Here is a 24,691-nt window from a genome sequence, read left to right on the forward strand (position 1 = left end):
CTGGGCATGGTGGCTTACACCTATAATCCCAGCACTTTGGGAGGCCAAGGTGGGTGGATCATTTGAGGTCAGGAGTTCAAGACCAGCCTGGCCAACATGGTGAAATCCCCCTTCTACTAAAAATACAAAAATTAGCCAGGCGTGGTGGCACACATCTGTAATCCCAGCTACTCGGGAAGCTGAGGCAGGAGAATTACTTGAACCTAGGAGGCAGAGGTTGTAGTGAGCCAAGATCGCACCCCTGCACTCCAGCCTGGGCAACAGAATGAGACTGTCTCAAAAAAAAATTATCTGGTAGTATCTATGAAAGCTGAAGGTTACACATAGCCAATATTCAGCCATTCTACTCTTGGGTGCATACCCAAGAGAAATAGGTGTTCAACAAAAGATAATGCCTATAATATTTATAGCAGTGTACTCATAAAAAAACTGAAAGCAATGCAAATGTCCATCTACAATAGACACCAAATGAATTGGGCTATATTCACCCAATAAAATCAAATACAGTTATGAGAAGGCATAATCTATACCTACATATTATAATATGGATACATATAAAAGCTTACAGCAAACAAATATGACAATTCCCTAAGCTATAAACTTATATGAGCCTTTTGTTCCACATGTGTTATCATAAAAAAGTCAGTAAATTATTTCTACATTACCTGTAAATTTAATTCAATGTCAGTTTTTTACAAGCCTCTGAAAATGTTCTCTTCTAAACTGGAGCGAAAACTTGGTTCTGAGGCACAGGTGGAAATTACCTGTAAGTGTGCCAGGACTCCAAAAACAAAAATAACCTCATAGGCCACAGTCACAAGAGCAAGCACCCATGCTCTGCAATCCATTACCACAGCCCAGGAAGTGATAAACTACTCTAACAATAAGAGAATTTAGTAAGTTGATGGGTGCAACTAAATACAAACTATAATAATTTACTAATATACAAATAATAACTGATTAGGTATAACTCATGTGATATAGTTTGGCTCTGTGTACCCACCCAAATCTCTCGCACACTCACCCTTCAACTTCCCCTCATTCAGTGAGGATTAGACTGTGCTTTCTGGATGTTGCTGTCACAGTTCAGCAGATGCTGAGATAAAGTTGTGCAGGCATGAAATTCATTTAGGAGTATTTTTGGGAAGAGCCTGTGGGCGAGTGAAGGAAGCAGAGGAAGTCAGGCTGTGATGACAACAAAGGCCTAGTGAGTCAACCCCTCCAGGAGCCCAGAGACTAAGATGGCCCTGCACAGCTACCCAAAATTGGGGCCAGAGGCCAGGCCTCTATACCTCTACACTGACAAGTCATCAGGTGTGAGTGGCCCTGGGAATGGGAGATGACCTTGGAGGAAGTGACTTTTTAGCTGAGACCAATCATGAGGTGGTGTCTTAGGGGTGGGGGCAGGGCTCAGCCAGCAGCTGTCAGCTCTCAACACTCCCGTCAAGTCAGCAGGGAGACTCGGGACTTCAGTCCTGAAATGGAGGGGAAGGAAGTGGATCTCAGTGGCTGACCATAGAGAATACAACATTGAGCAAAATTTGGGCTATTTCACTAGGTCTTCAGAGTCACACTACCATCCAAAGCAATGGCTGTGACTGGGTTTCTCGGGAGTCCAGCAGGTGCATGGAGAAAAACACTTCCCTCAGGCAAAACTGAAGCACCTACCAAATTGTGAAATACTACATTCTTTTTCTGTTTAAATGTGAAATATTTCTTCATTGGCTCCACTCCTTTGGAGCTTCCATGGTCAGAAGTTGAGCGGGGTCAGAGGTTTCGCTGGAAGTAAAAATGGTAGTTCACACTTCCCTGGAGAGACTTGTGAGCTCATCCATTCTGCAAAAGCAGGTGAGGCTGGCTGGGAAGGAGAGCAGGGAGCTGTGTGTGAGTGGGGGTCATGGGGGGCAGCCTGCATGTGAGTGTAGAGGCTGTGGGAGGGGAAGCTGAGAGTTCAAGCAGAATGTCACTCCAGCTCATATTGCACAGGACAGGCCTTTGCTTAACAGGCACTTTCTATCTGGTGTCTGTTGTGATGCTGTTGTCTGAAAACTGTCATTTACCTTTAACAGGATATTAGTGTCCCCAGGACAGGTCTTCAGAACTTGCAGGCAATTTAGAGACACCAAATCTAAACCTACTCTAATTGCTTTAATTACTGAAAAAGAATCAAAGCCCAGTGAATTGGGGACATCCCAAGTGTCCTCTAGGTTGACAAGAAAAGACTAGAACTTGGTCTACTAACTCCATGTCTAGATATATTCCAACACCTCCCAAGAAGGAGGCTGTGCTCCTAATAGTATAAGAGATGGGGTGGAGGATAGGGAGCTTAGGGAGAAGATTAGCTGCTCTAAAAAACGACTATAATTTGTAATTCCAGCTGAACCCCTAAGTTGCAGTGTGGTTCTAGGTAAGACACAGAACGATTTTTTAGTCCGTGCTTCTCTTATATATCCCGTGGCATCTTGAGTGGCTGCTGTGCTCTAGGCAATGTGTAAGACTTTTAGAAATTATTCCATGAAAACCACATGACAACCCTGCACAACTGGTTTTATTGACCCTTTTCATAGCAGAGGGAACTAAGTCTCAAGAAGCTTATGGAATCTTCCAGAAATGGTGGGTCTGGCTACAGTTAGGTCAGCTCATGTCTGAAGCACACGCTTGTTTCACTTCTCAGCCCTCCTCTTAGCTGGAGGTCATCTGGGTCTTCCAAGAACCACTTAGGGAAGTTTTTTTTTTTTTTAATGTGACCTTTTTCCATAAGTTATTGGGGTGCAGGTGGTATTTGGTTACATGAGTAAGTTCTTTTGTGGTGATTTGTGAGATTTTGGTATACCCATCACCTGAGTAGTATATACTGCACCATATTTGTAGTGTTTTATCCCTCGCCCCCTCCCACATTTCCCCCCAAGTCCCCAAAGTCTATTGTATCATTCTTATGCCTTTGTGTCCTCATAGCTTAGCTCCCACATATCAGGGAGAACATATGATATTTGGTTTTCCATTCCTGAATTACTTGGCTTAGAATAATAGTCTCGAATCTCATCCAGGTTACTGAAAATGGTGTTAATTCATTCTTTTTATGGCTGCATAGTATTCCATCATACACACACACGCGCGCGCACACACACACACACACACACTACAGTTTATCCACTCTTTGATTAATGGGCATTTGGATTGGTTCCATGATTTTGCTACTGTGAATTGGGCTATTATAAACATGCATGTGCAAGTATCTTTTTTGAATAATGACTTCTTTTCCTCTGGGTAGATATCCAGTAGTGAGATTCCTGGATCAAATGGTAGTTCTACTTTTATTTCTTTAAGGAATCTCAACACTGTTTTCCATGGTGGCTGTATTAGTTTACATTCCCACCAGCAGTGTAGAAGTGTTCCCTGTTCACTGCGTCCACGCCAACATCTACTGTTTTTTGATTGTTGGATTATGGCCATTCTTGCAGGAGTAAGGTGGTATTGCATAGTGGTTTTGATTTGCATTTCCCTGATCATTAGTGATGTTGAGCATTTTTTCATATGTTTGTTGGCCATTTGTATATCTTCTTTTGAGAATTGTCTGTTCATGTCCTTAGCGCACTTTTAGATGGGATTTTTTTTCTTACCGATTTGTTTGAGTTTGTTGTAGATTCTTAATATTAGTCCTTTGACAGTTGTGTAGATTTTCTCCCACTCTGTGGGTTGTCTATTTACTCTGCTTACTGTTCCTTTTGCCATGCAAAAGCTCTTTAGTTTAATTAGCTCCCAGTTATTTATCTTTGTTTTTATTGCATTTGCTTTTGGTCATGAAATCCTTGCCTAAACCAATGTCTAAAAGGGCTTTTCCAATGTTATCTTCTAGAATTTTTGTAGTTTCAGGTCTTAGGCTTAAGTTCTTACTCCATCTTGAGTTGATTTTTCTATAAGGTGAGAGATGAGGATCCAGTTTCATTCTCCTACACGTGGCTGCCAATTACCCCAGCAACATTTGTTGAAAAAGGTGTCCTTTCCCCCACTTTATGTTTTTGTTTGCTTTGTCAAAGATCAGTTGGCTATAAGTATTTGGGTTTATTTCTGGATTCTCTATTCTGTTCCATTGGTCTATGTGCCTATAAAACAGTATCACACTGTTTTATGGTTCGAAATTAGGTAGCGTGATGCATTCAGATTTGTTCTTTTTGCTTAGTCATGCTTTGGCTATGTGGGCTCCTTTTTGGTTCCTTATGAAGTTTAGAATTGTTTTTTCTAATCTTGTGAAGAATGATGGTGGTATTTTGATGGGGATTGCACTGACTTTGTAGATGGCTTTTGGCAGTATGGTCATTTTCACAATATTGATTCTACCCATCCATGAGCATGGGATGTGTTTCCATTAGTGTCACCTATGATTTCTTTAAGACGTGTTTTGTAGTTTTCCTTGTAGAGGTGTTTCAGCTCCTTGGTTAGGTATATTCCTAAGTATTTTATTTTATTTTATTTTATTTTATTTTATTTATTTTTTGCAGCTATTGTAAAAAATATTGAGTTCTTGATTTGATTCTCTGCTTGGTTGCTGTTGGTGTATAGAAGAGCTACTGATTTATGTACATTAATTTTATATCCAGAACTTTGCTGAATTCTTTTATCAGTTCTAGGAGATTTCTGGAGGAGTCCTTAGGGTATTCAAGGTAAACAATCATATCATCAGCAAATAGTGACAATTTTACTTTCTCTTTACTGATTGGATGCCCTTTATTTCTTTCTCTTGTCTGATTGCTCTGGCTAGGACTTCTAGTACTATGTTGAAGAGGAGCAGTGAGAGTGGGCATCCTTGTCTGGTTCTAGTTCTCAGGGAGAATGCTTTCAGCTTTTCCCTATTCAGTATTATGTTGGCTATGGGTTTGTCATAGATGGCTTTTATTACATTAAGGTATGGTCCTTTTATGCTGATTTTGATGAGAGTTTTAATCATAAAAGGATGCTGGATTTTGTCAAATGCTTTCTCCACATCTATTGAGATGATCATGTGATTTTTGTTTTTAATTCTGTTTATGTGGTATAACACATTTATTGACTTGCATATGTTAAACCATCCCTGTACCCCTGGTATGAAACCTACTCGATCATATTTTTTGATATGTTGGATTCAGTTAGCTAGTATTTTGTTAAGGATTTTAGCATCAATGTTCATCAAGGATATCAGTCTGTAGTTTTCTTTTTTGATTATGTCCTTTCCTGGTTTTGGTATTACTGTGATGCTGGCTTCATAAAATGAATTAGGGAGGGTTCCTTCTTCCTCTATCTTGTAGAACAGCATCAAAAGGATTGGTACCAATTCTTCTTTGAATGTGTGGTAGAATTCTACTGTGAATCTATCTGGTCCTGGACTTTTTTTTTTGTTGTGTGTTTGGGAGAGGAGGGTCTCCCTTTCCCACTTCTGCAGTTGGGGCACTCACAGTATTTGGGGTATCTCCCAGGTCCTGCAGGAGCAGACTGCTTCCTTTGGAGGGTCCTCTCAGGGTTGCTGGTTTGTTCTTGCAGTTGATCTGCCGCTAAAATTCACAATGTGAGCTTCCACAAGCTGCTCTGTCCAGAACTGCAATCTGGTCCTGCCTGCCATCTGCTATGATGATCTAATTGTCTCCCATTTAGGAAAGTTTTAAAATGATTTTTCTAGGCCAGGCGCGGTGGCTCATGCCTGTAATCCCAGCACTTTGGGAGGCTGAGGCGAGTGGATCACAAGGTCAGGAGTTTGAGACCAGCCTGACCAACGTAATGAAACCCCGTCTCTACTAAAAATACAAAAAAATTAGCTGGACGCCATGGCGGGTGCCTGTAATCCCAGCTACTTGGGAGGCTGAAGCAGGAGAATCGCTTGAACCTGGGAGGGGGAGGTTGCAGTGAGCCGAGATCATGCTACTGCACTCCAGCCCGGATGCCAGTGTGAGACTCCATCTCAAAAAAAAAAAATGATTTTTTCTGTCTCTCTCTCATCTTTGGCTTTTCAGTATGGGATAGAGGGAAAAGTCCACAGAGAAGTGCGGAGCCCTCCCCATGGACTCTCCAATCCAAGGCTTGCTCCCAGCTCACCTTCTGAGCAAAGTGTGGATCATTTCCTTTGCCCTCCCCTGACCTATTTATCACATGATGTCAATGAAAATGTACAATCATGGTTTGAGAGTAACCAAGGACAGGCTGTAGAGTGCATGGTTAAGAGTGAGTGTGGTAGAGTCACACTTCAACTCAAATATTTTTATCATTCTAAAATCAAATCTTCATAACAGTCAATTCAAAGAAGTCCAGCTTCTGCTCTCATTTCTATTCCCTCCCTCTGTACACAGGTAACTTTTTCCTTCCTTGTTACTCTTTCTTGCTTTCTTCTTTTATTTCTTCCTTTCTTCTACCTCTCTTTTTCTCTTTTTCTTCTTTCCCTTCCTTCTTTCTTTCCTTGCTTGTTTTCAAAGTATATCTTTCTATTGTCATCCTTATATTTATGTATCTATATGAAAATATATAACATATAAATATAATAAATATATATGCAAAAGTGTATCTTGTGCCCCTTACTAAACAAATGATAGTATCCCTTACATTATTTTATTCAACTCATAATTGAATAAAATACTTAGCAATATATCCTGGAGATGATTTTACAACTCTCTATAGAGATAGTCTTCACTACTTTTTACAATGAAGAAGTACTTCATTGCATAGATGTATCTAAGTTCATCCCGCCAGTCTCTTATTCATGGTAATTTGGATCAGTTTTTGTCTTTGCTTTTTTAAATAGTACTCTTCCAAGGAGATTTTTGCATAGTTCTTTCTATACTTTTGCCAGTGTATTTTTGGGCACATTCTTAAATTTGATAATGTGTGTCAAAGGGTAAATCCTTCTTTATTTACCCCCATAGGGCTGAACTCTTTTGCTTTCCCTTCAGCAGTGTCTGAGAGTTTCTGTCTTCCCTATACTTTTGTCAAGAAAGTAGGCTGTCAAACTTTAGGAGTTTTGCCAAATCTATACATGAGAAACATTCTCTGGAATCTACCCCTTTTCCAAGGACTTTTGGTTCTGGTTATTGGGTAATAAACAAAGATTTGGACACTTGATGTGCTCATTGCTAGAAGGTGTCACTTTTTCTAAGCTCGCCTTAGCAGACAGAGCTGGGAAAGCCATGCGTGCAAATTTACATATGCAAATCCACATACTTATGTTGATTTCTGCATCTCTCTATCTACATGCTTTTAAAAAGCAGTAAGTTCTATTCTTATTTGTAACTTGTTTGTGCAACATTATTTGCAATATACATACTACTTTGTTCAATCCTATTGTTACTGATAGAGTTGTCCAGGTTCTTGAAGTGTTGAACAAAGAATTGAACAAAATGCACAAAGTAACAAAAGAATGAAGCAATGAAAGACAAAGCAAGGAAGTAATGAAAGCACAGATTTGTTGAAGACAGTTTACAGGGTGGGAGTGAGCTCCAGCAACCAGCACAAGAATCTCCTTGTTACAATGCTCCCCAATGTTTTTATATAGCCAAAATAACTTGGCAACACCTCTAGGTGCCATTTATTTATTTATGACTGAGTCTTGTCTATTGCCAAGGCTGGAGTGCAGTGGTGCAATCTCGGCTCACTGCAACTTCTGCCTCCCAAGTTCAAGTGATGCTCCTGCCTCAGCCTCCTGAGTAGCTGGGATTACAGGCCGCATACCACCACACCCACCTGGGTGCCCTTTAGAGGTCTCCAATTGGTTACACCTTATGAAGGATTGGCCTGTGACCAATCAGAGAATAAAGTGGAAACTTATGTCTTGTTATCACAGGAGCAAGGATGTGGCCTTTATGCTGCCTAATCTTGCCTAGAACTGTCGGCACCTGCTGTTTTTTTGCTTATGCCTTAACCCTTGGTTACCTTAATTCCCTATTCTCCTGTCTCATTTCCTGCTGAGAGACATGATCCCCTTGAATCTTTATGGGAGGCAGAGGCACTGAAGATCAGCTTTCTGTAGCTGCTTCCTGCTGGTCACGGGCATTGTCCCTGCCTATTGAGAATCCTGGCTCTTTGTCCCTAGGTAGTTAGGTCAGTGTCCGTGGGCTGCAATGAAACTTGTACTTGGTCATAAAAGGTGCAGCTAGCTTGATCCAGTTGTGACAGTTGAGTATCTTTGGCTCGATTTTGGATTTTGTTCCAAAACTGACTGAAACCCTTGCACAAGCATCTGTAAGTGAGGGAGCAAAAATCAATTAACATTTTACACCAGGGAAAATTGGTAGGTATTTACTTATCTTTTGGCTTTCTTTTAAACAGGTACTTCAGGTCTTCCACAGGTTCACAGGTATAGTGGCTGGAGGGAGCCTCCAGTTCCAGGTCCAGGGCTTCAGATATTGCAGACTTAACCCTGGAAAGATGTATCCAACAATCTGATCCTAGTGCTTTGACTGTGGAAGGCGTGGCCAACACAACGGAAAACAGTCCTTTCCATTTGGGTTGTAATTGTTGAGCAGGTGACCCTTCGTTCCATGTTTTAACAAGTACCTTATCTCCTGGCCTGACCTTGGTGCGCTGGTTAGTTCCTGGTACAGGGAACCTTTGAGTTCCAAACTTTTTGTAAAGCCTGCTGAAATTGTCCCAGGTTAACTAAGTATTTTACTAAACCGGCTGCTTCTGGATCAATCATTAGATCATTAGTTTAAAATGGCCTCCCATATAATATTTCATATGGGCTCATATTAATTTTTGCTCTTGGGGAATTACAAATTCTTAAGAGGGATATGGGCAGTAAGCTGATCCAAGTTTCTGTTGTTTCCTGATGTAGCTTAGCTAATGCCCGTTTTAGAGTTTGATTAGCCTTTTCTACTTTCTTGGAGGATTAAGGCCTCCATGCTGAATGTAAATAGTATTTGATTCCAAGAGCCTTAGTTATGTGAGAGTTATTTGGGAGTTATAAATAACCCTTGAGTTATTTGGGAGACAAAAGAAGGCTGTGATCACTTTGGAGGCTTTGGGGTAACCCAAACTGGGGGAATATTTCCTTCAAGAGAAACTTTATAACCTCATTAGCCTTCTCTATTCTGGTAGGGTAAGCTTCAACACAGCTAGTAAAAGTGTCTATTCGTACTAACAAAAACTTGTATCCTTTACAACCTGGCATGTGGGTAAAGTCCAGTTGCCAGTCTTCCCCTGGGTAAGTTCTCCTTCTCTGGACTGGTCCTATTAGAGGAGGCATTTTGTTTCCTGGGTTGTTGAATGCACACAGTGAGCAGGTTTGTCAGATCTGCTTAACCACTGAAGCTAAGTTAGGCCCAATGAAGAATCTGTTTACCAGACCAGAGTGGCATCTCTTCCCATATGGAAAAAGTCATGAAGATTTTTATAATTCTCCATTGGGCCGTTTGAGAGAGATACATTTTTGATCCCATACACCACAGGATCCTTGTTTTTGTCCCCTTTGCTCCTTTATTAACTGTTTTTCCTGTGATGTGTATTCAGGTTCTATTGGGAAATCGTAGAAAGGAAGCAGTGCTAGGATTTGTTGAGATTGCACCCTGAACTGCTGCTTTGGCTTCCCTATCTGCCTTTTTGTTTCCTTGTGCTATAGGGGTTAAGTCCTTTTGATGCCCCCTACAATGGATTATAACTATGATGCAGGATTTTGCTCCTTAGCTCAGCTAGGTCTTGGTCCTTGTCTCACATCCAGGAAGAATTAGGCACACAGATACCAGAGAGTGGCTGCAGTAGAATTTATTAAGCAAAAGGAAAACTCCCAGCAAAGAGAGTGGTCCTGAGAGCAGGTTGCCATTGCACCCTTCACAGTTGAATATCCAGGCTTAAGGTGCAAATTCCTGGCAGCTCCATCCCATCCTTCCAGTGCACATGTGGGCCCTTAGACTGAGTGACTCCAAATTGATTTATTTCCCTTACTGCACGTGTATTAATGAATGGAATTTTCCACTGCAGGTGTGTTTAGGCAAGCCCGCTGTGCAAGTTTCCTCAAATGTACAAAACATCTGGTATAAGCACTTGTGGGGCAGGTTGGAGGTTCTCTGGGGACCTTTCCCTTACTGTCTGCCTAAAGCAAGCTGGCTAACTCCTTTCAGCTATGGCCTCTGGCAAGTATATTGTTTCCCGTAGTTGAAGAATTTCACACCCATGCTTTATGGAGAAATGCTTATCAGTTAGTAGTCCTGTTTCTTTCCAAATTTTGGCATGAGCATGAACCTGAGACCCGCACATTTAGAATCCATATAGATGTTAAGCTTTTTCCCTTTTCCCAATATTGGAGCTCAGGTAAGAGCAATAATTTCAGCTTTTTGTGCTGACGTACCCAGGGGCAGAGGCTGAGCCTCAAAAACAGTGTTATAATTAGGATTCTCTTTTAGGGTGCTAACTCCCAGGGCAATGTTAGTGCTGGAGTACCAGGCATACTGTGAAAGGAGCCAGGGGTGTTAGAATGAGTGCCTCAGCTTAAAAGGGACACATTTGCATGATAGTAACAACTTGACAAAAGAAAAAGTTTATAAAATAAATTAATTATTGAGTATGAATATACAATCCCTGGTATGTTTCTGAAAACATTAGTCTTGCTTACAATAGGACTATATTTACGGAAAAATTTAAAGGAATTAAATATTTAATGGATACAATTTGGGATACAGCATGAAAGTATTTCTTCTTATGGGAACAATAGTGCCATTAATTTCCTTGATGCCTGAAATTCTATAAACTTATTCATTATAGACGTTATGAACTATCCTCGTCTCATTTCACATAAAACACAAATTTCCTCTACCTCATTTCAAATTTTAGGTAGAAGTTTATGAAGTAGCAAAAGAAATAAAGGTAATTTATCCACATAACTATTTTGGGGAAACAGAGGATGCGACTAGATTAGGGAAGGCATGGAATGGAGTAGGGTCATTGGTCTATTTACCAACGTCACTGACTTTGACCTCTTAGGAGTGGTAACTGCAGCTTTTTACGTTTAGTCTTCCTTGCTAAAGGTCAGGGAAGAGTGGCCTTCAGGCTTCCTTGGTAAAGGAAAGGGGAGGAGAGAAGGGAGCATCAGTGTGAGATTCCCAGGGTACCGCCTACCTACGCCCCTCCCCACTCCCCCAATATGGATCCCGCTGCCTGGATTCCTCCTACTACTCTCCCTCAGCCCTTGATTCTGTCTATTTTGGGTCCTTAGTTGCAAGACTGCCTTATTTTATGCATTATTTATGACCTGTGCATCGTCTTATTCCTCCAACGACACTGAGCTTGTCTCTTCTCAACAGTGTTCTCAGCACTGTACGCATGGAAGGGGCACCATGATGAACTGCGCAGCTGAGTTGAAATGAGATCAAATGGGAAGGGCAGTGAGGGAAGGGCCGACAGTTTCCCGTCTGTGAGAAAGCAAGGCTGCTGTTGTGCTGACTGCCGCAGCAAGCAACATGCTCTGGAGGTCCCTTTTTATGTCGGACTCCGTGGCCTCAGTTTCCTTTGTGAGTTTATACTCATTGACAAAGGCAGGCGGTGTAAGGTAAGAAGTGCTGGTCTGGAGCATGGACCCTCCTCCCTGGGCTGCCCCACGGTCTAGCCAAGACTCATTCCTGGACACATGGTCACTTGGGCCAGCTCTGTCACAGCCAGTGTCCATCCATTTCCCATCACATCCTCTGCATCCAGGTTTTCTGACTGAAGCCTCACACCCTCAGGGCCAGGCTCCCTCCTCCTTCCAGAGCCACCTCATTTATGGAAAAGCTCCCTCAGGTGACTGAGATGACACCAACTCTGCCTCCATCCCCTTTCCCTTTGGGAACCAAGATACCTAAAGAGAGCTTGTGAGCTCTGGGCCTTTGGGTGTGGGAGACAAGGCACCAACATCATGAATAAAAGCACAAAAAGACAATGAAAGATGAATGGGATATTCAAGACAATTATCTCAGGGGCTGTTTCTGGTTATAGGCTAACAGGTGGGGGTTCTCACGACAAAGCCCCTGGATGGATTCCACAATGTCCTAATCCCTGAACAGGGGGTCTTCTCTTTTCCCTAAAAATATCTGTATGTGGGCCAGGCACAGTGGCTCACGCCTGTAATCCCAGCACTTTGGGAGGCCGAGGCGGGTGGATCACGAGGTCAGGAGATCGAGACCATCCTGGCTAACACGGTGGAACCCCATCTCTACTAGAAATACAAAAAATTAGCCTGGCATGGTGGCGGGCGCCTGTAGTCCCAGCTACTAGGGAGGCTGAGGCAGGAGAATGGCGTGAACCCGGGAGGCGGAGCTTGCAGTGAGCCGAGATTGTGCCACTGCACTCCAGCCTGGGCGACAGAGTGAGACTCCATCTCAAAAAAAAAAACAAAAACAAAAAAAAAAACTGTGTGTTACAATTTTTTTGAATGGAAATTGCTTCTCTGGGGTTTGGAATCCACAAATTGCCGTGTTGCACATGTGGCGATAATAATGATCAACAGTGTCATCATCACCTTTATCCTTTTCTGAATTCTCTCTATGAAGCACTTTATCATCTTCAAAGTTCTCATCTCTATTGTTTTAGCATGTCCTCTAACATCCCTATGATATCGTCTAAATAGATATTAAAATCTGCTTTTAAAATATTCAAAAACTGAGCATGACAGGATGCACTGAAGCCATGCAGTTAGTTATGAAGCCAGTATGTTCTTAATAAAAAATCCATTCTAAATAATATTTGCAATGAGGTATACTAAGGCCGATAACACAAAACAAGATTGACAAGCTAAACCCTTCCACTAAAACCAGCTGGATAATTATTTTGAAAATTCTTAAGTGATAGTTTTTCCAACAATAAATCTTAGAAGAATAGACTGGAGGCATTCTAAATAGGATAATTTCCATGGAAAATAACCTGGAGTTTTTAGTTGAGCCAAAATCAATAAGAACCAATGGCGCAAAAAACCTTTCACCAAAAAAGCCCCTTTAACTCACGCTTTCTTAACAGAAGCCCTGGATCCAACAGGAAATAATATTCCCAACTCTCTGTAAGTTTATCAGAAACATAGATCAATTCCAGGGACTAGACTATAGGAAATATTGGCAATTTGGAGTGTTCAGTGGAGTGTAGCAAAGAATATGAAGGGAGTTTGTAAAATAATTATATATTATTATACATTATATAGAAAATAGTGAATGAGCTCACTAAAAGCTTCAGAAAAAAGCTGCTTGGCAGTTATACAGATCTGAAGAAATTTGCTATCAGTTGATATGCAAAGCAGAAAACAGACAAATGGGTACCTGTTTCAGAAATTTTTTCACCATGAAGGGAACTCTAAATAAGATATCCAAAGATGAAAGATGAAAGTGGGTAATGGCAGCAAGAGAAGACTAGTGTTTGAAAAGGGAACTTAGAAAGCTTGATGACTTTAGCCATAAAGCTTGACAATTTCAACCATGAGTAAAACAGAAGTTAAAGTTCACGCAGGAGAGTGACGTGAGGAGAGCTAATGTACCTTCCCATTTTACTAGTTTGTAATTCTGACTTTTGGTCTCACAGTAGGTCATCTGCAAGATTGGGACCACATAAAAACTTCCATGTGGTTTTTGAGAGCAAATGTTTTAATCTGCCCTCTTCACCCTCAGAAGTATCTCCTCCAGGAATCTACTCCAGTGCTTACATTTCAAACTCTTAGGATTTAGGGTTTTATTAATTAAGACTCTGTAAAACCTGTGGTTTAGCACACATGAAACTATTTACTAACACCTGAAGCATGGACATGGGAGGTGATATGAGTATGAGGGAGAGAGAAACGGGCTAGAGAAACGGGCTTGAGAAAGTGCATGCACATGAGCAGGTCAGGGTTGAATCTCCAGGCAACAGAGACAGTACAGCCATCTCTCCCACCCTCTCCCCAAGGAGACCTCACAAAGGCATTATCCCTCCCAGCCAGTCTTGACATACAGAGTGGAGGGTTGAGTAGTGAGCTGTCGAATGGGAAAATCGTGCAGTGCAGCCTCACCTGATGGTAAGATTTTAAGGATGTGTGTAGGCCTCTGTGAATTCAGTTTTCAGATCTTCCTGTGGCATTTCTCCATTTTTGCTCATGTGTTTAGCATTTGCCCAGTTTTGCACTGTATCATTTCACGAAGATCAAATGGGATGTGAAAAGGACAATAAAATTATTTAAATGATTAAATAATAGAAAGAATAATGCAAAGACATGCTGAAGAAACAGTTATTTTCCAAACATCCAGTAATCTTTCAGCAACTTGACTGGCAGATTTCTCTCCAAATACCTCACATGAGCAGTTGATGGGACATATTTACCAACTGTGCTCACCGTTAGCAACCTTGCCCAAAACCTAAATTCAGTCTGTTCTAGTCAACACCTGAAGCCCATTTTCTCCTCTCCTTTATTTGTGCAATGAATGGTATTAAGGTGTTCCTTGTGCCCCAGCTAAGGATTTATTATTTTCTCTTAGGCTGGTCTGCAGCTCCTTGTGGGCCAGTCCCTGGGTCCCCATGATGGCTCATGAGCTCCAATAAAGAATCACTGGGGACAGGTCCTGTATTAATCCCAAACATTCTTTCCATTAGACTGAGAGTTTGCTTGAGGTCAGAGATTCATGACTATCTTGTGGACATGTGATTTGCAGAGCCCAGCAGAATAAACACAAAAAATTATTAAGTAAGTGAATTTTGTTACATACCCTTTACACAGAAAAATTATTTTCCCTAGCAGAATAACACATGAAAAATTGAGTAAATAAAATTTATTACATATCCTTTACACACGAAAAAACCCCTATCTTTTTCACAGTGTAAATAGGTCTGTGCAGAGGAATATTTTTTTGCTTGTTAAAACTTTGTTTCAACATAACTTTGCTTACACAAATACACTCATATTGGTTAACAGAATGCAATTTAAGTTTAACTTATCCTACACAATTTGGATCAAAAACTTGGTACATGGTTTAAGATTTTTAAAAAGGATTTGCAATCTGGTTTATTTTTATCTATTACAAATGTATAAAAGATCCTTAATAAAATGCTGCTAAACAAGGCAGCAAGAACCTTTGGTTTGCTTCAGAAAAATAACACATATTGCACTGCATAAGTTTATAAAACTGGTGCAACAAAACATTGTTGTATGCCAGAGACATTGTTTCAATGCCAGTTTAGAAAGTTCAATAACTAATGGGTATGGAAGAGACTGGGAGAGAACCTATGTCCACATGTGAAACTGTAAAAGCTATCTGATTTAGTTAGTATTGCATGTAGATTGTAAATTCACACAAACCAAAATTCAGATACTTTCTAAAAGCAGAACTTCCATTCAACCCAGAAATCTCATTACTTGGTACATACCCAGAGGCATATAAATCATTCTACCATAAAGACACATGCACACATATGTTTATTGCAGCACTATTTACAATAGCAAAGACTTGGAACCAACCCAAATGCCCATCAGTAATAGACTGGATAAAGAAAATGTGGCACATATATACCATGGAATACCATGCAGGCATAACAAGGAACAAGTTCATGTCCTTTGCAGGAATATGGATGGAGCTGGAGGCCATTATCATCATCAAACTAACACAGGAACAGAAAACCAAACACCGCATGTTCTCATTTATAAATGGGAGCTGAACAATGAGAACACATGGACACAAGGAGGGGAACAACACACACTGGGGCCTGTTGGTTGGGCAGTGGGAGAGAGAACACCAGGATAAATAGCTAATGCATGCAGGGCTTAATACCTAAGTGATGGGCTGATAGGTGCTGCAAACCACCACGGCACACATTTACCTATGTGAAAAACCTGCATGTCCTGTACATGTATCCTGAAACTTAAAATGAAATAAAATAAAAAGAATGTAGGTTATCATTGCTTCCAAATAGGCAGCAAATCTAAAACTAAAACTGTCAGCAGTTTAGGCTTTCAGAACTCAGTTGTCAGATTCCTGCATGGCAGGTTAGGCCAGAGGCACCTGCTTCAACTAAGTGGTCATCTTGCCTACTCCTGAGGAAGTCAGAAATGGTCATTGTTGGGTCTGTCTGAATAAGGCCGTGTGTGGGTCTGCAGACTCAGAGAATAACTCTCCTGTCACCCTTGGGTCAGCACCAGCCTGGGGAGGGTCTACAGAGGGGCCTGAGCACAATTCCGCAAGGTGTCCGTGGAGAGACTCCTCCTCATCCCAGTCTGGCCTTCCAGCCATCCAGAGCACATCCCATGTGTAGGGAGGGGACATGGGCCCCAATTCTAACTCTGTCCTGTGTGGAAACCACACTGTATGTGAAGGCTGAGATAACAGATGGAGGAGGTGAGACAGAAAATGGCTGTTGCAGCCACAGGAAGTAGTGTTGCTGCATTCACAGGTAAATTTACAATAAACAGTCTTGCTTTCATATCTTGAGAAGGTTCTGGGAAATGGGCTCACATCAGTTGTAGACCACAGACCTCCTGGGGACATGCTGAGAGGCACATGAACAAAAACCTCTACACTGTATAATAAAGAGGTACAAACTTCTACAAATGGCAGGTAACACTGGTTTAAGAAAAATGCTGCATTGCCAAAGCAAAGGAAGAACTGAAACTATGAGGAGACATTGTCCAAACCTAAGTGCAAAGCCCTTGGGATGGAGGCGATCCTGACTCTTGAGGCCTTTTCTTCCTGTCCTGACCCTCCTGGGCACGCTTTGCTCCCCCATGATATTGAGGAATAGGTCAGAAACCAGGGGCTTTCAGGGGAACAGTATGGTTTGTGGTAAGGTGAGATAGGGATTGGAACATGAAGAAAGGGGGGCTGAGTGCCCATGTCTCTCAGCACAACCTGCCTCCTTGGTTATTTTGCACCAAGAGGGGGACAAAGCTGACATACTGGCCCCTCAGTCTCTGCAAGTCAACACTGTGTGGAATCTCAGGGGTCAGACCCCAGAACTTCGGGCTTTTACGAACATAGCTCCCTGGACAGGGCACTCTACTCCTCACCTCCCAGGGTTGGCATTGTCACTCTCCTGGTCTGGTCACCAGGTATGGTCTCCATTAGGGATCACAGGTCCTCAGAACCAGCCCTGTGCAGTTCAGCTGTGTTCCCACAGCTCTCTGAGAACTGAGTCTCTGTTGATGGGTCATTTGGCCAGCCTGTGCTAATGGGTGAGTAGAGTTTCGTGCTCACTGGGTAAGGTCAGAAATATCAGAGAACTTTGGATGTTGATGTGGGAAGAGAACTTAAGTCACCTCCCGCAATCCTCACTTTAACCATAAAACAAGCATCATGCCCCCAACCTTCATCTCCTGACCCCCAGGCTGCTGCTCTTTCCATGAGGTGGTGAACTTGTCAGTGGGAGGCACAGGTGCTAGGGTGCTAATGGCAAAGTCCATGCTGATGGGCTCCAGTGGAAAACCAGGGCCTCCATGCTAGCGAGGAGCCCTAGTGATGCAAACACAGTCCTGATGGATGCTACCATGCCACTCAGAGAGGGAAAGAATGAATGTGTCAATGCACCGCAGCAGAGACAATGCTGGGGGAGGCGGGCGGAGAAAGTCCCTACGTAATTTAATGCAGTACAACGAGGGCTTTTGGAGTTGATACCCTTCCCTTTGTTAATATCAATATAATTCTCTTAGTAGAAATTCCAGTTTCTATGACAGTATGAGAATGTCTCATGGCCATGAGTCATGCTTACAGGCAAAGGGGCTTTGCAACCATCTCTGATCACTCTAGCCTGGCAGTCTGCCTATGCCCTGAAATGTGCTCCACCACTCAGAGACAGAAATCATTGCCTATTCTCCAGACTGAATGAACTCCTAAAGCCTTTTTTCCCATAGAGATGCTAAACTCAGAAAGGATAAGACCTAAAAGTTGGAGAAGCTGGGAGGTGGCTGGGCCCCAGCATGGTGTGTGCACATGCGTTCTCTGGATGGAGGCAGAGCGGGCTCTGAGAGCAGACAGGCAGGCTCTGGAGTGGCCTTTTCAGGAAAGCCAGTGTCTCTGCTCTACTTTCTGACCTTCAGGACCCACTGATTCTGGGTTCAGCGTGGGACTGAGGAATGGGTGTCCCATGAGGTTGGATATTCCCTAAGGTAGTGGGGCTGGGAGCTGGGATCAGGATTAACAGGACACCATGCAAGAAAGAGAGAGGAAAGAGGGAAGAGCAGTGAGACAGAAAGAGGCACAAACTGACAGTGGGAGAGTGAAGTACAGGGTTTAGGGAGCAAAGGAGAGGCAGGAAAAGGAGAAGAACAGGGAGACTTTCTGTAGCTAGAAGGGACTTCTCTCTTCACTTCTCTAATGAGTCTGTACCCAGCAGATCAAGATTATGTAGCTCAGACCTACCATGTGTGTTGCTCAAGAAGCCATGATCACCTAGGTTACAGTTCACACTTCTTGGCCTGAAATTGACAGCTTTTATATCAGGCTGCAAACTTTCTTCACAGCCCCCTTGCTTCTATTCTGCTACCTTATGAGACTCGCAGCAAGGCGCTTGGGGTAGACAGACTCCATCTCTGATTCTACTTTCATTCTCTGAGTAACACTGGTTGAGTTCCTCATCTTCCTGAGCCTTATTTTTACTTCTTTAGACATGGACATGATAATTTCTACTTCCTACTGTTGCTGTAAGCATTAAATGAGAAGAAGATATAAAACCCAGGGCTGAGCCAGAAAGAATTAAGTAAGCGGTAGCTGTATCTGCTCTATAAGGGGTACCCATTTACTTTTTCTTACCCAGGCAATGCTTGTTTTTACCTTAAAGCCATTCACACTATTTCCTTCCACCTGTTTATTTGTCTGTCCCCAAAGTTCTCCACATTTCCAAATCCTCCCTTCCTTTAGTGCAAAATTCCTACATGACAACCTCCACAACTTGAGATTTTTTGATCCTCTGCTGTCTGTCAATCAGACAATGCCTCTTGGACTCCATTTCTCCATGTGTGCTGGTTTCATTTCCTCAGCAACATGGGAAGACATTTGTACAGATGGAGCCAGGTTGGTTTCTTCTTCTTTTTCCCCTTACTCCATCCTCTGCCACATGACAGATACATCAGAGATTTTAAACCTTACTTGGAGTTCATGTAAATGGCCCAGTCATTCTGATGGTCCCCAGGGGTGCTAGTTTATAGTATTAGCTCCTTTTCAGACTTACTGTGTATTAGACCAGTGGTTCTCAAAATGTGGGCCATGGATCAGCAGCATCAGTATGAACCGGAAACTTGTTAGGAAATATGGGCTCCATCCTTAACTCATGGAATCAGAAACTCTGGGGGCGGAGTCCAGCAATCTAAGTTTCAGTAAAACCCCCAAGTGAGTCTGATGCCTGCTAAAGTTTGAGAACCACTGAGCTAAAGCTTTGTCTGTTAAAGGACTCTCACCTATGATTAAATCAGCTGAAATGGAGATCATAAGAGAGTTTTTAAAAGCACATCTGAAATGTAAAATTTTAGGTGAGAAAAGTCAACATAAGACCCTCTCATCTAAGATCATCCTAGAAGAAACAAAATGGAGAGGTGCTGTGGGCCATCAGGAAACAGCCTAAATGTCCCTGAAAGTTGAGATGCCTCAGAAATAAACCTCCAACTTTTATTTGTAGCTGGGCACAGGCCCCAATTCCACTAGTCATGGCAGTGGCCCAACTTCAACAGTGCAAATGATACAGCAATGTCCAAGAGCAGTGGTTCTCAAAGTGAGGTCCCCAGACCAGTGGCATCATGGGAATTGTCAGAAATGCTATTTTCAGGCTCCATTCAAAACCTACTAGTTCAGAAATTCCAGGGATGTTGCCTAGCCATTTGTATTTTAATAAACTCTTTAGGTGATTCTGATGCAGGCTAAGGCTTGAAAACCTCTGTGCTAGCCACTGGGAATTCATCCTTTACGTGCACTTTTCCATTTAATTCAGACTGGATAGTTTAAATTGTTCCCACCTTAAGATGAAGGAAATTAGGCTCAAGTTTGAGTAAGGACACTTAGCTAGTCAGTGGCCCAGTAGAAACTGGAACTCAGTTCTGTCTAACTCCAGAACCCCAGTGAGAATATGGAGGACGTATTTTGGGTATATGTGATCACTGATGGACTGAGTAGTTAAAAATGTATGTGGGAGAACTTCAGGGCAGGATGAAGAAGGAAAGTTAGAGAAAGGCAAATAGAGCAGTCTCTGCTATTTTAATGGATGATATTCAAGCCTGGGATCTGTAGCAAGTTAAACCTATAGAGGTCATCTTTTTACAAGATGTGGCCAAGATAACAGGCAACAGACCACGTCAAAGAAACCTTCCAGTGGACCCCCAGCATTTAAGGACTTGATTTGTTTGTTTGTTTGTTTGTTTGTTTTGAGGCAGAGTCTTGCTCTGTCACCCAGGCTGGAGTGCAATGGCGTGGTCTCAGCTCACTGCAACCTCTGCCTCCCAGATTCAAGCAATTCTCTTGCCTCAGCCTCCCAAGTAGCTGGGATTACAGGCACCCACCACCATGCCCAGCTAATTTTTTGTATTTTCAGTAGAGACGGGGTTTCACCATGTTGGCCAGGCTGGTCTCAAACTCCTGATCTCATGATCCACCCACCTCAGCATCCCAAAGTGCTAGGATTACAGGTGTGAGCCACGGTGCCCAGCCAAGGGCTTGAATTGTTAACTCTTCACTTGAGCTATTAATATTTGATTTGTATTCAGCTCCTTTGACTTCCTTCTCAGTATCTCCCTGTGAGTTATTTTCCCCTTACCTAGCCACTGTCCTGATGGAAAACCTTTACCTCTGAGAGAGGAATGACAGCTCCAGACCAATGGGGTGCATGTTTTACTGAGGGGACTTTCAGCCCTTTCAGATCACACAGGATAAGACAGTTATCTACCCTCTCTGAGAACAGAGCTTGCTGCTATAGCAGCCCTGGGTCTTGTGGTTTCCTTTCACACACTGAAGTTATTTTTCACACTTCACAAAACACCTAGAAACCAAATGCCTCTCAACACTCAGGGAGATGAAACTCAGGAAGGACAGCAAGTGAAAATGAAAAGATATTATGGGAGAGTTTTTGGAGAGGAAATGGGGTAGGGGCTGACAGGGTTATGAGCAAAGGAAACAGAATGGGCTGGTGACCCAGTGGGTTCACCTCAAAGTTTACAGCCAGGGTTCCTCTATGCTCTCTTTGACTCACTTGTTCTGTTTCCATGCACTGAGAGGGTGCAGTTCGTGGGAGGCAGAGCAAGTGGAGGAGGACCACAATTAAAGCGACCAAAATTCAGATTATGTAAAGCCTGATGAGGGAGAAGGTTTTGAATTCATAATTCACACAGCCCACAATTACACATATCTGACTGTGACATACCTAGATTCAAGCCTGGAGTGTTTTTCCATTTTCCATAATAAAACATTCAGGATCCAAACTTAATTATGAGTTTCTGTAAAAAATCATCTGCTAAAATCTCCAGCCTCATTTCTACACAATGTGACTTCCCACCTTGAGGATCTAGCCATCCTTGGCTTTCTTTGATTAACTGAGAGTTCCATGTCTTCACTTACCTTGGAATATGCTTTATCTTCTTCCTGGAAATACTTCTAATCTCTTTCCCTAACTTCTACTCACTATTCAATTTCAGCTTAAACAATGTTGATTTTTCTAAGAAGTCTTTTCCAACTACTCCTACTATTAGTTTAGCAGATCCTCTATACACTCTTAAAACATCCTAGTGTTCTCCTTAATAACATTCATTATCCTACTGTTTTTGTTAACTGTCATGTTTGCCTGAGAAAGGAGGTAGTGATAGGGAAAAGGTGGTGATGGTAAAAATAGAAGAGGGAGGTTTTATAGGATGGCACAGAAGAAAATAAAATATTTGATTGGTTACAGTTATACAGTTACCTTATTTGGTCTACCCTGTTGTAAAGTCCATAGTTTTGTTTGCTGGCTACTTCTAATTAGTTGAGCTTAAGTTCTGCTTTTATTTAATATTAAACATTTACAAGAAATAGCTCAAATTAAGACTTGCTTATCTTTGCAAATCAAGCAAGGTTGAGGTCATTTGTAAGGCCTAACTGCTTTTGTCTGCTCAGGTATTCTCCGGGTCTGGTCTCCATTTTAATTTACTTTAACAAAAAGAGACGAGACCCTCAAACCAGGTCCAGCTAGAACTAGCACAATTGAAGACAGAATTGCTCTGTCTTAGAAATGGATAAGATTACTTAGGAATATCAAGGCAAAAATCCTGAATTAGCTATTAACAAATAGAATCAAGCAACACCTTGTGTGATTAAGATTTGTCTAAGTATGCAAAGAAGTCAATATTAGGAAATACTAGGAAATATTTTTATACAATTTAATGTATTACAAAGCTATGGAGCAACATAATCTGATCACCTCCTTAGCTGTTGAAAAGTAATTTGGTAAAATTAAATGTCTAATAATTGGTTCTTTTTCCCCATAAGAAAATTTTCCATCTCAACCTCAAAGTCTGCATCTAGTTTAATGGTAAACATTGAGATATTGCCACAAAAGTTAAGAACAAGCTAAGGAAGCCTACTATCATTGTGATTACTTATTTAACATTCTCTTAGATACTAGCCACAATAAATTAACAGTGAAAGAAATTAGAAGTTGTTTTATAAAAAATTCAAAAAAAGAAGATAAATTATCATTTTTGGCCCCATAAAGAACTTTTACAAATCAATATCAAAATTATTCCCATCAGAATTGAAACATGGGCAATAAATATGTAAGAGATATCAATAAAAAATATAGTTCTTTCTTTAATAAATAGACATATGACAAATGACTCAATCATATTCCCATTGAGTAATGTATATGAAAATCACACTAACATCATCTTTCACCTATCAGTTTGGCAAAGATAAAATTATGAGAAATCAATATGGGAAACTAATAAAATGCTGGTGAAACTAATTTGACTAAAATTTTTATTGTAAGCAATTCAGTAATATCTTTCAAAATTACAAATGCATGTACCAATTGTATAGCAATTCTCCTTGTAGGAACCCACTCAGGTGATTTGATTATCTGTTGCTGCATAAGAAACTACTCCAAAACTCAGTGGCTTAAAACAACGTGTTTTTGTGTGTCAAGAATTTGGGCAGAGCACACTGGGTACAACTTGACTTCACTCCTTGCAGACTGGGCCTCAGTTGGAGTGGCTCAAATGGCTCTAGATGGGGTGGGGGACAGATCAATGAGGGCCACATGTGGGAGCCTCTCGTTGTCAACTGTGTCCCTAGCTTCTTCTCCACGTTGCACCTGCTGAGCCTAGAATATCCCAAATCGCTTCTACCCTCCTTCACCAAGGTAACAGACTCTTTTCCTGGTGGTTTTACTTTCCCAGGTTTATCATAGAATTGTAAAGTCAACAGAACTTAAAGGTACTATTGGTCAGCTTTATTCCCTGTTTGACTCATAATAGCCAGGAAAACAGATTGTGTGTGAGAAGCAGGTTCTCAGATGCTCAGAGATCTTTATAAAGCCCTGACTCACCCACAACTCTTTGCCTTCATGGCCTGCTGAGTCTTTTACAATGCCACCCCATTACATCTCACAGTAGAGGAATCCCTTGCTCCGAATGTCATACATCCCAAAAAAAGTTACATAGCAAAATTCCACAATAGGGGTTCTATATTTCATCATTTAAAGGGGAAAAGCTGCAGTACATTTCTAGCCCATCCAAAAACCCCAACAATTTCCTCCAGATATCACTAAAACACTTTTAAACAATCAAAGCAATATAATAAAAATCACCAATGATTTCTGCAAAATGTAAGGCCATTAAATGCCAATCAGCTAATTGTTTAGCTGATTATTTGCCAGTGATTTAACACTACACTCATATCTGTCTGCAGTAAGCAATGATATAAATGCAAACATTCTTTTCTACTACACTTCTACAAGCATTCAGAAAAATTGATTAAATACAAAAATAGGTTCATATAGATAACAAAATCAAATTTCACTCACAAATTTAAAAAAGGATTATTTACTAATTAGAATTGCCTAAATGAGGTTTAGAGGAGAGGAGAGGGAGACCGGAGTCCTCACGGTGGCTGTTCAGCGGGGTGAGTGTGTGGGATGAGCTGATAAAGGAGGAGGTGGAATTGTTCACTCCTGGGGTTTGTCCATATCCAGTTCCAAGGGACTGGGAACTGTCTTTATGGCATTTGACCCTCCAGAAGGAGATGACTGTGGCCTGTTGTCTGAAATCATAGTCAAAGCAATGTGATGGGAAAAACTCAAAATGGCCATGTCTTTGTGTTTCCTCTGCTTGAAAGCATACGGACCCCTGGGTAATAATGTAACACTGTGCTTGAGATTGCATCATATAGTGGAATGCTTCTGTTGATGACTTTTGTATGATTTTAAAGTTTCTTTTATTATTATTATTATACTTTAAATTCTGGGATACATGTGCACAACGTGCAGGTTTGTCACATAGGTATACACGTGCCATGCTGATTTGCTGCACCCATCAACCCGTCATCTACATTAGGTACTTCTCCTAATGCTATCCCTCCCCTAGCCCCCCACCCCGCAACAGGCCCCAGTGTGTGATGTTCCCCTCCCTGTGGCCATGTGTTCTCTTTGTTCAACTCCCACTTATGAGTGAGAACATGCGGGGTTTGGTTTTCTATTCCTGTGTCAGTTTGCTGAGAATGATTATTTCCAGCTTCATCAACATCCCTGTAAAGAGCATGAACTCATCCTTTTTATGGCTGTATAGTATTCCGTGGTGTATATGTGCTGCATTTTCTTT

General features: G+C 41.6%; 1 long non-coding RNA gene across 2 annotated transcripts in view, besides 2 other annotated features; it reads right to left on the bottom strand.

The window, feature by feature from the left end:
* Positions 1 to 563: 563 nt before the first annotated feature.
* Positions 564 to 24,691, bottom strand: part of LOC124901774 (uncharacterized) — a 39,410-nt gene continuing 15,282 nt past the window's right edge. For both annotated transcript variants that reach the window (XR_007060589.1, XR_007060588.1), the window contains 2 exons: positions 13,955 to 14,066; positions 564 to 1,151 (listed from right to left, as the gene is read on the bottom strand). This is a non-coding gene — a long non-coding RNA (uncharacterized LOC124901774). The remainder of the gene's footprint in view (positions 1,152 to 13,954; positions 14,067 to 24,691) is intronic.
* Positions 13,623 to 13,672: an enhancer, noted in NCBI's record as "active region_26839". NCBI's record gives its function as "activates an Ori minimal core promoter by ATAC-STARR-seq in GM12878 lymphoblastoid cells {active_cell/tissue: GM12878}" and the evidence as "EXISTENCE:reporter gene assay evidence [ECO:0000049][PMID:35858748]".
* Positions 16,345 to 16,564: an enhancer, noted in NCBI's record as "active region_26840". NCBI's record gives its function as "activates an Ori minimal core promoter by ATAC-STARR-seq in GM12878 lymphoblastoid cells {active_cell/tissue: GM12878}" and the evidence as "EXISTENCE:reporter gene assay evidence [ECO:0000049][PMID:35858748]".

Source organism: Homo sapiens, chromosome 7 (assembly GCF_000001405.40).
Source record: "Homo sapiens chromosome 7, GRCh38.p14 Primary Assembly".
Classification (NCBI taxonomy): domain Eukaryota; kingdom Metazoa; phylum Chordata; class Mammalia; order Primates; family Hominidae; genus Homo; species Homo sapiens.